The sequence below is a fragment of the Homo sapiens genome, chromosome 8, assembly GCF_000001405.40.
Source record: "Homo sapiens chromosome 8, GRCh38.p14 Primary Assembly".
Classification (NCBI taxonomy): domain Eukaryota; kingdom Metazoa; phylum Chordata; class Mammalia; order Primates; family Hominidae; genus Homo; species Homo sapiens.
In genome coordinates, this window is record NC_000008.11 from 62,935,343 (window position 1) to 62,952,620 (window position 17,278).

At 37.5% G+C, this 17,278-nt stretch overlaps 1 protein-coding gene across 4 annotated transcripts in view; it reads left to right on the plus strand.

The window, feature by feature from the left end:
• Positions 1-17,278, plus strand: part of NKAIN3 (sodium/potassium transporting ATPase interacting 3) — a 750,799-nt gene that overhangs the window by 686,489 nt on the left and 47,032 nt on the right. The window contains exon 6 of one of the 4 annotated variants that reach the window (NM_001410914.1): positions 10,132-11,472. The exons of the other annotated variants lie outside the window; for them this stretch is intronic. Coding sequence (NP_001397843.1) covers positions 10,132-10,163 — 32 coding nt within the window. The 3' untranslated portion in view covers positions 10,164-11,472. Of the gene's footprint in view, positions 1-10,131; positions 11,473-17,278 lie in introns of those variants that run through there. 4 annotated transcript variants of the gene reach the window in all.

Consider the following 17,278-nt stretch of genomic DNA (forward strand, 5'->3'; position numbering starts at 1 on the left):
TTAAATAAGTCAGCAACAGCTTGTTGTTTACTGCATGCTTTCTGTGTGCTGGCACTCCATCGCCATTACCTTGTATAAGGTAATGACACCCTGTGAGGCAGCCATTGTCCTCATTTTACAGATGAGTAAACTACAATTTTTTTTTCCCAACTCACATAGCGTGTAAGAACTGCAATTAATATTTAATCCAGATATTTTGGGTGCCAAAATCCAAATGCATTCCAAAATGCAGTAGTACCTTTCTTTCCAGAATTTTGTTAACAATAAAGTTCTTAATAAATAGGCTAAAAAAGATCGATATACATAGAGAGAAAGAGAGACGTTAGTCACTCACTAGATTAAAACTAGAATATTCATATTTAAATATTGAGTGATAATACAAAGTACTGGCACAATGTAGGGAAAATAATGGATTAGCCCACTAAAATTTAAGTGGATATGAGGAGGCACATGTAAAAGAACACACTCAATAATCTTCTCTCAAATCAACTGTCTCAGCACAGACTATTTAATATGTGAAGCTTATCATTAGAAAAACAGAATTTCAGAATCCAGTTCAAATACTGAAAAAATCTAAAAACAAAAAAATTTAAAAACAAAAACTGTGTTTCATTTTAATAGCTGCAAAATTCTATATGGCTATCCAGTGAAATTATGAAATAGAAGAATACACCATTGTTAAAGTCTGACTTGATACAATGTAAGAGAATATGACATGACAGATGTTGTGGGTATGATTTTAAAAAGCAAAAATGTAACCACCGCTATTTCCCAAAGACCGGACTTAATGCTTCTTCCTCATGGTAGTGGCTTGCAGAAGAACTTGGCCATCTTCGTGATTTCGCAGCTACATCAAGTGCAAGCACAGGGACTGATTCTGAAGTCAGGGTTGATGTGGTGGTGTGGGCTGTGAGGAGTGGGAGTAGACATCCGCTTCCTTTCCCATCTTTCCTGTTGGCATCCACTGAGCTGTGTAAGTGACCCACTCCCACTGTGGTCTCAGTTGTCAAGCATGTCCTGCTCTTAGCTGTCAGCACTCCGCATGTGAATTACAGTGGAGCCTGGGACTCCATACCAACTTCCTGAGCATCAGAACTGCTGTTTCACTTGTCTTCCATAATCTCACAAATGTCTATATAACCAACCCTAACTCAGAACCATATACAGAAGGAAATTCCAGGACACATAACTCCAGCTTAGATAAATTAACACCATACAAAATCACTACAATTTTTAATAATAAAAATGAAAGCATTACTGTTCTGAAATTATCCCATGGAATCTAAATGCTATAGTGATTTAATATTCATCATTATCCATCTTTAATGTCCCTAAACAAACTTTAGTAGTTACAATTTTAAACCATTCCATCTTATTTTTGGACATTTTCTACATTCCACTTCCCCCATAAAATTCTGTCCTAATGTCATATGTTTATTCTGCTAAAAATGTTTTCTTAACTCGTTATATATTTCTGCAGTAAAAAATCTTGCAGATTGTAATTCCATTCTCAATGTTATCTTTTCATGAACAAAAGTTTTTAATTTGTATAGTTCAGTTATTAAGCTTAAAGTAAGAAATTCTGTGGTTAGTACTTTTTCATACTTTTTAGGACTTTGCCTAAACTATGTCCCATGAAGATATTCTTCTATATTATATCATATTATATTATATATTAAGCATCTTACATTGTGATCTATTGATTTTTACATATCATGTGAGGTAGAAATCAACATTCTTTATTTCCTCCATATGTGTATTCAGTTGACCAAAAACCCTTCACATAAAAAACTATTCTTGACCACATTGCAAAGAAAATGGCAGACAGGAGACAGAACTAACTTGCGGCTCCCACTCAGATAGACAGAACAGCATGTGGAGACTCACATCATGAACTTTTGTTCCAAGAACTACTGCAGGAACATATCAGGAAAACTGAAAGAATTCGTAGAGCCTTTGAAAGAAGTGGCTTGCCACTGCGTACTCCGTGAAACAGCCGAAAACTGTGAGTGCCCAAAGTGTGAGAGGGGGAATGTCTGTTTCCAACCACACATCCTCACTGGGAAACTTGAAAATTCACATCACGGGAGAAGAATTTAACCTTACCTAGAGCTGAAATGAATTTAGAGAGCTGAGTGAAATATAAAAGTAGAAGCAGCAGCTGGAAGAGCCCTGTAAGGACTCCTCGCCCCCAAGGAAGACCAGGGAAGCTATTTATTACTTTATTTCACAGGGGACCTTGGGGAGGGCTGCCAGCGGAATTGGGGAAAAACTACGAGGAGAAAGAAACTCCCTACTAAACTTTGTAATAATTTAAACATAATGTGAATTTTCCTGGACAGAATCTGTAGTGGGGGGGCAAAAGGGAAGTACAGATACAACCACAGAAGCCTCAGCAGGCAGGGAGGGGTGAAGTCTGAAAGCCATGCTTGCTTTCTCAGCAGGGAGGTTTGTAGCCTGGGGCAAGTTCTCAGCCTTGCTTACTGGTTGCGTGGAAATAAATTTGGTGCTATTGGGGGTGACATAGTGAGAGTGAGACTGGCCTTTCTGGCTGCATGAGAACTGACTGAAGCCTATCATTGCCGGCTTTCTCCCACTACCCTGGCAACCTGTATGACACAGCAGAGGCAGCCATAATTCCCCTGGGAACATAACTCCCTTGGCCTGAGAACCACAACTCCATACCCCACAGCAGCCATGGAAAGGCCTGTCCAAAGAGAGGCTGAGCTCAGACACGCCTAACCCTGCCACCACCTAATGGTCTTTCTCTACCCACCCTGGTAGCCAAAGACAAAAGACATAATATCTTGGGAGCTCTAACGGCCCTGCCCTCAACCTGAGAAAGCTGAGTGCTCCTCCAGGTGACCGTAGGGGAAGTTTGTATCCTCCCTATACTACTACAGCTGATGCCGTCTTGAAAGCATCACCTCCTGGCTGGAGGCTAACCAACTCAAACCATAAAAGAACAACTCATAAAAGAACATCACTGCCCCAAGAAAGGAGAAAACAACAGCTAATTTCACCACCTGTAACATCCTGGCTAACCAGAGGTCCTGAGTCTTTCCATGTGACAACTTTACTGCCAGCACAACCAGCATTCAAGAAAAGCAGTGCACTAAACAAAACCATAACCAAAGTCTCACACAGAGTCCACTTCACTCCCCTGCTACCTTCACTGGAGCAGTTGCTAGTAACCATGGCTAAGTGACCTGAAGACAGTTCACACCATAGGACTCTTTGCAGACACACCCCAGTACCAGCCCAGAGCCCGGTAGCTCTGCTGGATGGCTAGACCCAAAGAGAAATAACAATCACTGTAGTCAGGCTCTTAGGAAGCCCCACCCCTACGGGAAGAGGGGAGAGCACCACATCAAGGCAGCACCCCATGAAACAAAAGAATCTGAACAGCAGACCTTGAGCCCCAGATCTTCCCTCTGACATAGTCTACCCAAATGAGAAGGAACCAGAAGAATAATTCTGGTAATATGACAAAACAAGGTTCTTTAACACCACCAAAAGATCACACTAGCTCACCAGCAATGGACCGAAACCAACAAGAAATATCTGTATGCCAGAAAAATAATTCAGAAGGTCGATTATTAGGCTGTTCAAAGAGGCATCAGAGAGAGGTGAAGTCCAACTTAAAGAAATTTTTTCAATGTTACTGGATATGGATGGAAAAATCTCCAGAGAAATAGAAAGCACAAATTTTAAAACAATCACAATTTCTGGAAATGAAGGACACACTTAGAGAAATGCAAAATACACTGGGAAATCTCAGCAATAAAATCAAACAAGTAGAAGAAAGAACTTCAGAGCTCAAAAACAAGGCTTTTGCATTAATCCAATCTAACAAAAACAAAGAAAAAAATCAGAAAAAAATGAGTAAAGCCTCTACGAAGTTTGGGATTATGTTAAACAGCCAAACGTAAGAATAATTGGTGTTCCTGGGGAAGAGGAGAATTCTAAAAGTTTGGAAAACACATTTGAGGGAATAAGTGAGGAAAACTTTTCTGGCCTTACTACAGATCTAGACATCCAAATACAAAAAACTCAAAGAATGCCCAGGAAATTCACTGCAGAAAGATAATTGCCTAGGCACATAGTCATCACGTTATCTAAAGTCAACACAAAGGAAAGAATCTTAAGAGCTGTGAGGCAAAAGCATCAGGTAACCTATAAAGGAAAACCTATCAGATTAAGAGCAGATTTCTCAGCAGAAACCCTACAAGCTAGAAGGAAGTGGGGTCCTATCTTTAGCCTCCTTAAACAAAACGATTATCAGCCAAGAATTTTGTATCCAACAAAACCAAGCTTCATAAATGAAAAAAAAGATATAGTCTTTTCAGACAAAAAAATGCTGAGAGAATTTGCCACTACCCAGCCAGCACTACAAGAACTGTTCAAAGGAGCTCTACATCTTGAAACAAAACCTCAAAATACATCAAAATAGAAACTTCTGAACACATAAATCTAACAGGACCTATAAAACAATAATACAATGAAAAAAAAAGCAAGGTATTCAGGCAACAACTAGCATGATGAATAGAATAGTACCTTACATCTCAATATTAATGTTGAATGTAAATGGCTTGAATGCTCCACTTAAAAGATACAGAATGGCAGAATGGATAAGAATTCACCAACCAAGTCTCTTCTGTCTTCAAGAAATTCGCCTAACACATAAGGACTCACATAAACTTAAGGTAAAGAGGTGGGAAAAGATATTCCATGTAAATGGACACCAAAAGAGAGCTGGAGTAGCTATTTTTATATCAGACAAAACAAACTTCAAAGCAACAACAGTTAAAAAAAAAAAAGACAAAAAGGGACATTATATTATGATAAAAGGACTAGTCCAACAGGAAAATATTACAATCCTAAATATATATGCATCTAACACTTGAGCTCCCAAATTTGTAAAATAATAACTACTAGACCTAAGAAATTAGATAGGCAGCAACACAATAATGGCAGGGGACTTCAATACTCCATGGACAGCACTAGGCAGGTGATATAGACAGAAAGTCAACAAAGAAACAATGAACTTAAACTATACCCTGGGAACAAATGAACTTAACAGATATTTACTAAACATTCTAAGTAACAACTGCAGAATAGACATTCTATTCATAAGCACATGGAACATTCTCCAAGGTGGACCATAAGATAGCCCACAAAACCAGTCTCAACAAATTTATGAAAATTGAAATTATATCAAGTACTCTCTCAGACCACAGAGGAATAAAACTGGATATCAATTGCAAAAGGAAACCTCAAAACCCTGCAAATATATAGAAATTAAATAATCTGCTCCTGAATAATTGCTGGGTCAACAATGAAATCAAGATGGAAACTTAAAAATTGTTTGAACTGAACAATAATAGTAACACAACCTATCAAAGCCTCTGAGATACAGCAAAAGCAATTCTAAAGGAAAAGTTAAAGCATTAAATGCCTACATCAAAAAGTCTCAAAGAGCACAAATAGACAATCTCAGGTCACACCTGAAGGAGCTAGAGAAAGAAGAACAAACCGAATCCAAACCCTGCAGAAGAAATAACAATGATCAGAGCAGAACCAAATATATTGAAAAAAAAAAATACAAAAGATAAGTGAAACAAAAAGCTGGTTCTTTGAAAGATAAATAAGATTGATGGACCATTTGCAATATTAACCAAGAAAAGAGAGAGAATCCAAATAAGCTCAATTAGAAACAAAATGAGAGATATTACAAAGAATAACACAGACAAAGATTATTCAAGGTTACTATGAACACATTTATGTGTACAAACTAGAAAACCTAGAGAAGACGGATAAATTCCTGGAAATATGCAACCCTCCTAGATTAAACCAGGAAGAAATAGAAACCCTGAGCAGACCAATAACAAGCAGCAAGATTGAAATGGTAATTTTTTTAAAAAATTACCAATAGAAAAGTCCAGGACCAGATGGATTCATAGCTGAATTCTATCAGACATTCAAAGAATTGGTACCAATACTATTGACACTATTCCACAAGACAGAGAAAGAAGAAATTCTTCCTCAATCATTCTATGAAGCCACTATCACCCTAAGACCAAAACCAGGAAAGGATACAACAACAATAACAACAACAAAAACTACAGACCAATACCCCTGATGAACATAGATGCAAAAATCCTCAATAAAATAGTAGCTAACCAAATCCAATAGCATATTAAAAAGATAATCCACCATAATCAAGTGGGTTTCATACCAGGGACACAGGGATGGTTTAACATATGCAAGTCAATAAATGTGATACACCACATAAACAGAGTTAATTAAAAACACAAATCACATGATCGTATCGACAGATGCAGAAAAAGCATTTGGCAAAATCCAGCATCCTTTTATGATTAAAACTCTCAGCGAAATTGGCATAGAAGAGACATACCTTAAGGTCATAAAAGCCATCTATGACAAACCCACAGCCAACACTATACTTACTGGGGAAATGTTGAAAGCATTCCCCATGAGAACTGGAACAAGACAAGGATGCCCACTTTCACCACTTCTATTCAACACAGTACTGGAAGTCTTAGCCAGAGCAATCAGACAAGAGAAAGAAATAGAGGGCATCCAAATTAGTAAAGAGAAAGTCAAACTGTCACTGTTTACCATTGATATGATCATATACCTAGAAAAGCCTACAGACTAATCCAAAAAGAACCTAGAACTGATAAATAAATTCAGTAAAGTTTCAGGATACAAAATTAATATACACAAATCAGTAGCAGTGCTGTACACCAACAGCAACAAAGCTGTGAATCAAATAAGAACTCAATCCTTTTACAATAGCTGCAATATATATATATATATACACATATATATACACACATATATATACACATATATATACATATATATACACATATATATACATATATATATACACATATATATACATATATATATACACATATATATATACACACAATACTTGACAATATACCTAACCAAGGAGGTGAAAGACCTCTACAAGGAAAACTGCAAAACATTGCTGAAAGAAATTATAGATGGCACAGATGGAAACACCCCATGCTCATGGATGCATAGAATCAATATTGTGAAATGACCATACTTCCAAAAGCAATCTACAAATTCAATGCAATTCCCATCACAATACCATCATCATTCTTCACAGAACTAAAAAAAAAAAAAAAATCCTAAAATTCATGTGGAACCAAAAAAGAGCCCACATAGCCAAGTCAGACTAAGCAAAAAGAACAAATCTGGAGGCATCACATTACCTGACTTCAAACTATGCTACAAGGCTATAGTCACTGAAGCAGCATGGTACTGATATAAAAATAGGCACATAGACCAATGGAACAAAATAGAGAACACAGAAACAAAGCCAAATACTTACAGCCAACTGATCTTCGACAAAGCAAACAAAAACATTAAGTGGAGAAAAGACACCCTATTCGACAAATGGTGCTGGGATAATCGGCAACTCACATGTAGAAGAATGAAACTGGATCCTCATCTTTCGCCTTATATGTATAAAAAGAAACTCAAGATGAATCAAAGAATTAAATCCAAGACCTGAAACCATAGAAATTCTAGAGGATAATATTGGAAAAACCCTTCTAGACATTGGCTTAGGCAAAGACTTCATTACCAAGAACCTAAAAGCAAGTGCAACAAAAACTATGATAAATAGATAGGACTTAATTAAACTAAAAAGTTTCTTCACAGCAAAAGAAATAATTAGCAGAGTAAGCAGACAACCCACAGAGTTGGAGAAAATCTTTGCGAATTATGCATCTGACAAACGACTAATATCCAATATCTACAAGAAACTCAAACTAATCCGCAGGAAAAAAACAAACAAACAATCCCATCAGAAAGTGACCTAAGACATGAATAGGCAATTCTAAAAAGAAGATACGCAAATTGTGAACAAACATATGAAAAAATGCTCAACCTCACTGATTATCAGGGAAATGCAAATCAAAACTACAATGTGATACCACCTTACTCTTGCAAGAATGGTCATAATTTAAAAATCAAAAAAGAATAGATGTTGGCATGGATGTGGTGAAAAGGGAACACTTTTATACTGCTGGTGGAAATGTAAACTAGTACAACCACTACGGAAAAAAATGTGAAGATTCCTTAAAGAAGCAAAAATAGATCTGCCATTTGATCCAGCAATCCCACTACTGGGTATCTACCCAGAGGAAAAGTCATTATACGAAAAAGACACTTGCACGTGCATGTTTATAGCAGCACAACTCACAATTGCAAAAATATGGAGCCAGCCCAAATGCCCATCAGTCAACAAGTGCATAAAGAAAATGTGGCATATATTTATATGTGTGTGTGTGTATATATATAAAGAAAATTTTTTAAAATGTATATATTTATATATTTATATTTATATGATATATTATATTATATATGGTATAATATATTTTTATTTTTATATGGTATATAAATATATATATATACACCATGGACTATTACTCAGCCATTAGAGGGAACAAAATAACTGGATAAAATTGGAGATTATTATTCTAAGTGAAGTAACTCAGGAATGGAAAACCAAACATTGTATGTTTTCACTTATAAATGGGAGCTAAGCTATGAGGACTCAAAGGCATAAGAATGACATAATGGACTTTGGGGAATAGGGGGAAGGGTGGGAGTGGGTGAGGGATAAACGACTACACATTGGGCACAGTGTATACTGCTTGGGTGATGGGTGCACCAAAATCTCAGAAATCATCACTAAAGAACTTACCCATGTAACCAAACGCCACCTGTTCTCCAAAAACCCATTGAAACATATATATATAACTATTATTTCCCTGTTGTCCTATGATGGCACCTTTTTCATAAATCAAGTAGATCTATTTTCTAACTCTATTATGTTTCATTTATCTATTGTCCTTTCTTATGTAATGGCATACTCTGTTAATTACTGTAATTTACTTGAAAAAAAGTCTTGATATCTGGTAGTATAAGTTCTTCAACTTGGTTCTTCTTCAAGATTGTCTTAACTAATCTTGAGTCTTTGCCTTTTCACATACATTTTAGAAATCAGCATTTTTATTAAACTGCTGAAATTTTTATTGGGCTTTCTTTGAATTCATAGATTAATTGCTCCACAGATCAATTGGTAGTTTATAATATTGAGTTTCACAATCCATTAATGCTTTATATTCTTCCATTCATTTAGACATATTTAATTTCTCTCAATTACATTTTACTGAATTCAGTGTAGTGGCTTGCAAATCTTTTCAGATTTATTCTCCCCAAAAAATGAATTTTCCCTGTAAACTGGAAATTTTTAAGTGTTTAATTTCTGCTTTGGATGGGAATATAATTTCAATTATTGGCCATCAACATGATTGAGTAAACATAAATTCAATATAAATCTTGATGAGTAAGTCCTAATCATAAAATGAAATATTTGTTGGAAAAGCACCTCTTAATGAAATGAATGCAGCAGTTTTGTTTCAATCAGTTCATGTCTTCATGGATGAATATTAGTTATTGCTAGAATGATAGGCTACCTCAAATACTTCCAATATTTGGTGCTAGTATTTATTTATAGAAACCTTGTTCACAGAAAAAATACAAGAATGGGAAGAAATTTGCTATAACAATGTCACTCAATTTTTTAAAATTCCTTCCTTCCCCAAGTATTTTTTAAGACCTGCTTTGTACTAGACACTGTTCCAGGTTTGGGGGCTATAGCAGGGAGCAAAACATATAAGAGCAGACAAAAATTTTTCCCTTATAAAGTTTAACTTGTAATGAGGGAGTCTGATAACAAATGAATTTTTTAAGTAAAATATACAATATAGCATAGTAAATAGTGATAAGTATAAAAGAGAAAAAAGTAAAGCAGGGAAGGAGATAGAACATGTGCAGAAGGTTGATCTGTAGATAAAGAGGCTGAGATATGTGCCCAAAAATACATAATGACCTATCATCTAAAGTTATTTTTAAACTACTACTACTAGCTGATGAGGTTCTTCTTCAATTGTTTTGGAAGCAAAAGATTGAAAGCCAGCTACCTTTTTATTAGTAGCTATTACTTTATTAACATCAGCATACAAAATTAAAACTATCACTTTGTTTGGTGACCCGCAGGCTTGTTCTGCCAGGATGATGCACCAAGTTAAGGTTCCAGATGGCTGAGATAAATGCCTGTCCTTGCAAACTGGAAAGAAGATGATTATAGAAGGGAATGAGAGAAGCAAGGTCCAGAATGGCCATACTTTTTCAAAGGCACATAAATTTTGGAATTGAGTCTCTTGAAATTGAACACTCTACATGCCTACACACCATTTAGGAGGTCTTACATTCACTTGGGGCACACCTTCTCCAGTTTGAAGACCACTGGTCTCTTATTGCCGCCCTTCTCACTCCCCACAATGAGGAAGAATGAGGATCCGAGACAGAGTTGGGGAGACTTCCAGACCCTCCAGACTCTTGGGGATTGCCCTCAGTGTTTGTCAAAACAAGTTGCCCTCAAGGACAATTGAACTATATCAGTTCTTCACATAAGTACCTGAGACTGAGGGGGACAGGACAGAGTGGGAAGCATCCATTTTGCATAGTATTGCTGAGCAGAAAGAAGTAAAAAATGTTGGTAAACTCTGATATGGACAATGCAGGCTCTTGGACTGCATACTCTATTCTTCCAGTTGGAACTGGCTTAACATTGAGCATTTCATTGGTCCCATGTGCTTCTCTTCAATTTCACATGCCTTCTGAAAGGTGGAGGAGATTTTAAACTTCCTGAAGCATAAAGAAAACAACCATAAATAGTGATAAAGCTGGCACTTGGGCATCATCTCCCTGCTTGGACATCTCTTCGGGATCACAAAGTTATTTCAGGAAGGGGGTAGCACAGCCCCAACCACCCCCGGGACATAAGCAACGGTTTAAGGCACTGTCAAGTCCACTGTGCCCAGCAGACCCATCATGGTGCCTTGGTGGCCACTAGGTATGCCATAAGCAGCCCCAACTGTGGCCTGTGTTTTGGCACAGCAGGCCGTGCCTACTGAATGCTCAGATTCTTCAGACAGGAGACAGCAACAGATCAGTGACACTGCAGAGTAGCTCATTCTCTCGTAACAGCAGCAGGGTTTAGTTGCCAGCTACCTCTGAAATAACTAGTCTCTCCTAAAAGCCTTCATTATGGTGGGGTGCTGCGAACTCCTCTCTGCAGTCTTTGAAGGGCCTCTCTGTGTGAACTAAGTTGATGTCAAGCCTCTTCCCCAGCTTTATCCTTATGAATTTATATCACGGAACAAGAAAATCACAGTGTAATAGCCCCCATATTTGAGTTCTTCAAATGTTTCTTTAAGATGTTATTGCTGGACTTGGCAACTTGTAAAATAAATGCTGATTAGAAAAGCCTAATACCTACATAGCAGGAACAATGATGGAACAGAAAGCAAGCTCAGAATAAATGTGTTAAGTGCCTCTCAGCTTCCTGAGTCTTTTCTTTTCTCTGACCTAAACACAATGTTATAGGGGATCTGTGCTCCTAAACTCAGTGACGAGGCAGTGTGCAATATAGCTGGAACAAAACAAAACGCCTACGTTCTGGTTAATTATTTGCTGAATATAGTTAAACCTGGGACATAAATGACAGCTTGAGCTCACTGGAAATGGCAGGTTTTCACTTTAAGTGTATCAAAGGCAAAGGCAAAAGTCTCAATCTGAGGCTCTTAACCTGGAGTCTATAAATGCAATGGGCTGTGAACCCCATGAAATAAAGTCATTTAATGGATATAGAAGTGTGCACTTTCTTACAAAGGGGTTCCTCAAGTTTTATAAGATTATAAAAGAGGTCTGTGATCCTAAAGATAATAAGAATGATGACTAAATATTCTCAAAATCTTATAATTATTAACCCCTTCCCCTCCTTCACTGAGGCAGCAAACACTTGCTCAGTGCCTAGGACTTCCGCACTCCCGTGACATCTGCTTTGGGGAAACAAACATGAATTAAAGTTCTAGTGAAGAAGAAGAATTAAATTGATATATTTGAGCTCCTTCCAAGGGCTGGCAAGGCACTGTCCTGTATATAATATACATTTTTCTTGTCAATCTTCATAGTAAACCCATTGGAAGTTACTATTAGTGTTAGCCATTGTAGAAGAATTTAATTTCTAATAATGGTCACAACAGTATTTCCTGTCTAACTTCCCCATCAAGAAGTGGGGAGTTGCTGTTCTTGCCTCTTAAGCCCAGGCTGGATGGGCAGCTGTCCTGACTAATCAAGTTTGGTGGAAGTGGCTCTGAGTGACTTTTCAGGCCAGATCATAGAAGGCGACACAGCTTCTGCCTGGCTATATTTGGTTGCTAGCCCTTGAACTCATCTACCATTTTGCAAGGAAGCTCAGGCCACATGTAGAGCCCCTTGTGGAGAGCAACAAGGTCTCCAGCCCTCAGCCCCAGCTAAGCAAACAGCCAACAGCCTGTCTTGACTTGCCTGCCATGTGAATGCACCACCTCAGAAGCTGCTCCTGCAGCCTCCCGTGCCCCAGCTAACATTGCATGGAGCAAAAATAAACCTTTCCTGCTAGGCTCTGCTCAGACGTGCCAATACATGAGCAAAACAAATGGTGATTATTGTTTTAAGACACTGTTATGTGGTTGGGTGCTATATAGCAATAGATAACTAGAGCAAGCAGCTTGCCCATATGAGCAACTGCCGCTTAGAGGTTAAATAATTTGCCCACAGTTACACAACTAGTAAGTGTAGAGCTGGAATTCAAAACAAGATCTGCCTGATACATAAAATCAAGTCAAGAGGATGAAAGAGAGAGTTTTACCTATATCTGTGACTTGGTATTTCCTTTTTTTTTTTTCTTTTTTTGAGACAGAGTCTCTCACTCTGTCGCCCAGGCTGGAGTGCAGTGGGGTGATCTCGGATCACTGCAACCTCCTCCTCGAGGGTTCAAGCAATTTTCCTGCCTCAGCCTCCCGAGTAGCTGAGATTACAGGCACGCGCCACCACGCCCAGTTAATTTTTGTATTTTTAGTATAGATGGTGTTTCACCATGTTGGCCAGGATGGTCTCCATCTCTTGACATCATGATCTGCCTGCCTCGGCCTCCCAAAGTGCTGGGATTACAGGCGTGAGCCACCGCACCTGGCCAGTATTTCTTAAAATAAAAAGAAATTTGAAGAAAATATAGCAAAAAATATTTATCTTAAAGTGGAAACACAGGCATCTATTATTTTATATTCTACATTTTTCTGTGTATTAAAAGTGTTTTACAACTTTAAAGTATCTTTTCAAAGATGAAAGCAAAGTCCTTATCAAATTTCAAAATATGTTTAAGATCAGACATGAAAAATAAGTTAAACTTTAAATTGTGTTAAGTTGCCATATTTATAAAACCAGAGGCATTACTAATGTAATGTCTAGATGATAAAAGAAGATCTTGCTTCAATTTGCCCAGTTCCAACCTCTCTTTCTTCATCTAACGGTGTTAATTCACGTCTTCGTGCCAATGTTCTGAGCTTTTAGCTCAGCAGAATCTTGAAAAATCCAAAGAGATATGCATAAACGTACAGGAAAATAGACTCCAGTCCACAGAGGAGGATCCAAGTATCTATTCTGGATTTACCATAAGCAGCAAGCATTTCCATAAGAGAAGGGAAACATTAGCACTTAGACTGCCTCTGAGGAGCACAGTAAATTTCTCAGAGCTGAGGGTGACTCTCCCCATAGCCCCTGGAGGGCTACATCTTCAACTTCATGTGACATGTAGTGAATTATTTCTCATAGGAAGCTGCCAGGTTGAAAGCCAGCCACCTTGCACATGTTGTCTCCTGAACAGCAGCACGAGACGAAGGAGAGTCAATTGCCTTGAGTTCCCCTTTGATTCTGCATAAAGTCAATCAGGTTTGCCATGGCTGAGTGGGGACCTGAATCAGTAGCACTGAATTATCTAATGGAAACTTCATTTGTGTGTCCCATAAACAAATAGAAAAGTTGCTATTGGTTGTGTATTTTTTTACAAGTAGAATACAAGTCTGTATTTGCACAGTCAGATGCTGCTATAAATCTAAAGTAGCTCTGTAATTCCTTCAGTTCTGTGAGAATCCTTGTCAGGAATTGGTGGTGGCTAGAGCGAGTAACCACAAAGATATTCTGTTACAAGTAATATTATTTCTTCCAAGAAGTTGCTCGGCTGTGCTCCTGGAAGTTGGCACAGGAAGAAGATTTGAAAGGACTGCAAAAGGGTTTCCTGGCTGCAGGCTCTCTCCAGGGGATCTTTGATGGTAACACCTCAGGTTCTGAGAATGGGTGTAGAGAGCAGCCCACTGTGTGGCTGGCTTTTCTGGATAGTTGATGCCAACCCTTAATTGTGTTGCTTTTTTTTTTTCTAAAATATATTTTTCACTTCCAGGATCTAATAATCAAAGTACATGGAACTCAATTTCACTGTACTGCAGGCTCCCAGCAAGCTGTGCCCTGATGCTTCCTTCAGTTGCTCCATCTCTTCTGCTCAATAGTGTTCTTGCTGTTATAACTACAGATTTCCTTGGATGTTTTTATTCCAACCTTCCTTTTCTAATACTTTTGAAAACCTGTCCATACCTTTTCTATTTCTTTTCGTGTTTCATTGAAATTCACACCCTGATTTCCACTGAAGAAAGTACTTAATTCAGCATCTTCTCTTCTCTTATCTTTCTCAAAAAAGTGAATTTAAAAATGCAGTTGCTTTACTTTCTTATCAGTGTAATATGACTGCCTTTCCCCAAACATAATTAAAAACTGAAGGTCTTTCCTAATGAGTTATTTTTAAGTCTTTTGTTAAGTGTTCTATTTCTTAATTTTCTTCATTTTTTAAAGCACTTGATGTCATTTTAAAAAAGCTTTAAGAATCTGTAAACTCGCCCTCTGTGTACACTTTAATTTGCCCCTTTACTTGAGCTCTCATCCCACTCTAGCAAATGGAAGGTATTGATGCATGCATGACAAACTGTTTTTTAATATGAAAACATCCTCACCTTGAGGACTTGGTGGCTTCTGTGGCCAAAAAGACTCATTGCTCTATCCCATCCATGAAGAATTCTTGATATTTCAGTTTCTTTATTACTTACTTTTCAAAGATTCCTCCTTAATAGTTAAATTTTTTGTAGTCTTGTCTAGTTCTAGAATCTTGATAATTTAAGTTTTACCTATATGTGATATATTATTTCTAGAGTTTACAACATTTACATCATGCTAGGTTTCTGATATGCAGAGAAGGTATAGCCAAAAAACAAGTAACAGTTTAAAAAGAAAGAAGAAAACAAATAGCAATTTAAAAAAAAAGAAAAGAAAAAACACATAGAAGGTGTGGCTGATTTATAGTGCCATCAACTGCAGGAACCAGATGTCCTAATTTGGTTAAAACAGTCCTTGCTTACACAAGTTGCCCTGGCACTTTATCTGGTTTAGACTTTGTCCTACATTTTTTAGTTTTCAAATGAAATATTACTATTAATAGTTGTATTAGGCAAATCTAGAATGGCCACGTAGACAACTCTTTCCATTTCTACCATAGTCTTATCAAGGTATGCGAGATGCATGAGCAATAAACAGAATCCTTTTTTTTTTTTTTTTTTTTTTTTTAGAATTCTCTTTTAACTGTATGGTTAAATCTGTAAGAAAACCAACAATACCACTCTCTTTTCTCCAAAACTTAAAAGACACAATATAACTAGCACCTTCCTTTCAAGGGCAGTATGCAACCTGGTCACTGATAAAGATATGTACTTGGATAGGAGTAGTGGAGATGGCTAACACCTTCCAGTCTCAGGTGGGTGTGTGAGAGGCACTGAAATCTACAGCTCCTACCAGCACCTCTTCCCACCATATCCAGCTGGTAGGGTCAGTGGAGAGCACCTGGAAGTGTAAGTTAATGCACTGACACATTAGGAGAAGAAGAATTTCTCAGAGTTAAAATAATGATATCAGTCTTATATACCAGTTTATAATACTGGAATTACATTAGTTTATCAAATGCTTTCAACAGAACACCAATTAAATTATTTAAATAATTTTAATTTTTTAATCCAGTTCATAGAATTAGCATAAGCCTTTTAAATTTGTTTGTTTGTTTGCTTTGTTTTGCGGAAAGGATCTGAGTTTGTTTCCCAAGCTGGAGTGCAGTGGCACAATCTGGGCTCACTGCAACCTCTGCCTCTGCCCTGTGGGCTCAAACTATCCTTCCACTTCAGCTTCCCAAGTAACTGGGACTACAGGCACATGCCACCACGTCCAGCTAATTTTTGAATTTTTTTTTAATGGGGACGGTGTTTCCCCATTGTTGCCCAGCTGGCCTCAAACTCCTGAGCCCAAGCAATTCACCCACCTTGGCCTCCCAAAGTGCTGGAATTACAGGCATAAGCCACTGCACCTGGCTTAGCATAAGCCTTTATTTTATTTCATTTTTTATTTATTTTATTTTTATTATTTTTGGAAACAGAGTCTCCCTCTGTCACCCAGACTGGAGTGCAGTGGCATGATCTCAGCTCACTGCAACCTCCATCTCCCAGGTTCTAGCAATTCTCCTGCCTCAGCCTCCGAGTAGCTGGGATTAGAGGTGTGTGCCACCATGCCCAGCTAATTTTTTAATTTTTAATAGGGACAGGGTTTCACCATGTTGGCCAGGCTGGTCTCAAACCCCTGACTTCAAATAATCTTCCCAACTTGGCATCCCAAATTGCTAGCAATATAGGCATGAACCACCATGCCCAGCAAGCATAAGCCTTTTAGATGTTCATTCTGTCCAAGGTAAAACTCTGATATTATTTTAAATCCTGTCATAATCTAATTAAGTAGTAAATATTAAAGATAAATATATTTATTTTGTGGAAATAATACAATACAATTTTTGTGAAGTACAACATATGGGTTAAAAAAAACAAAAAATATTCTTACTAAGTTAAAAAATACATGAAGCAGAACTGTATTTGGAATTCAAGTGCACAGGAAACTTACAACTGCATCCTAATAAAGCCACACTATTTTACCAATGAAAACAGAAATTCAAAGTGTTTTCAAAATCTATATATTTAGAGTAAATAAAATAGAATATTTTTGTGATGAGGCTAATGTTGAAAACAAAAAGAAATTCATCATGAAAGAATGTACATTTTCTCTCTTCCCTTCCCTTCATCAATCTGAGTTCTGACTATTTCGACCTTTGAAGAACTGCTTTGTAAATCAACCTAAGTTTCTTACAATGTCTGTGAGTATTTTTATAAATGAATCTTCTACA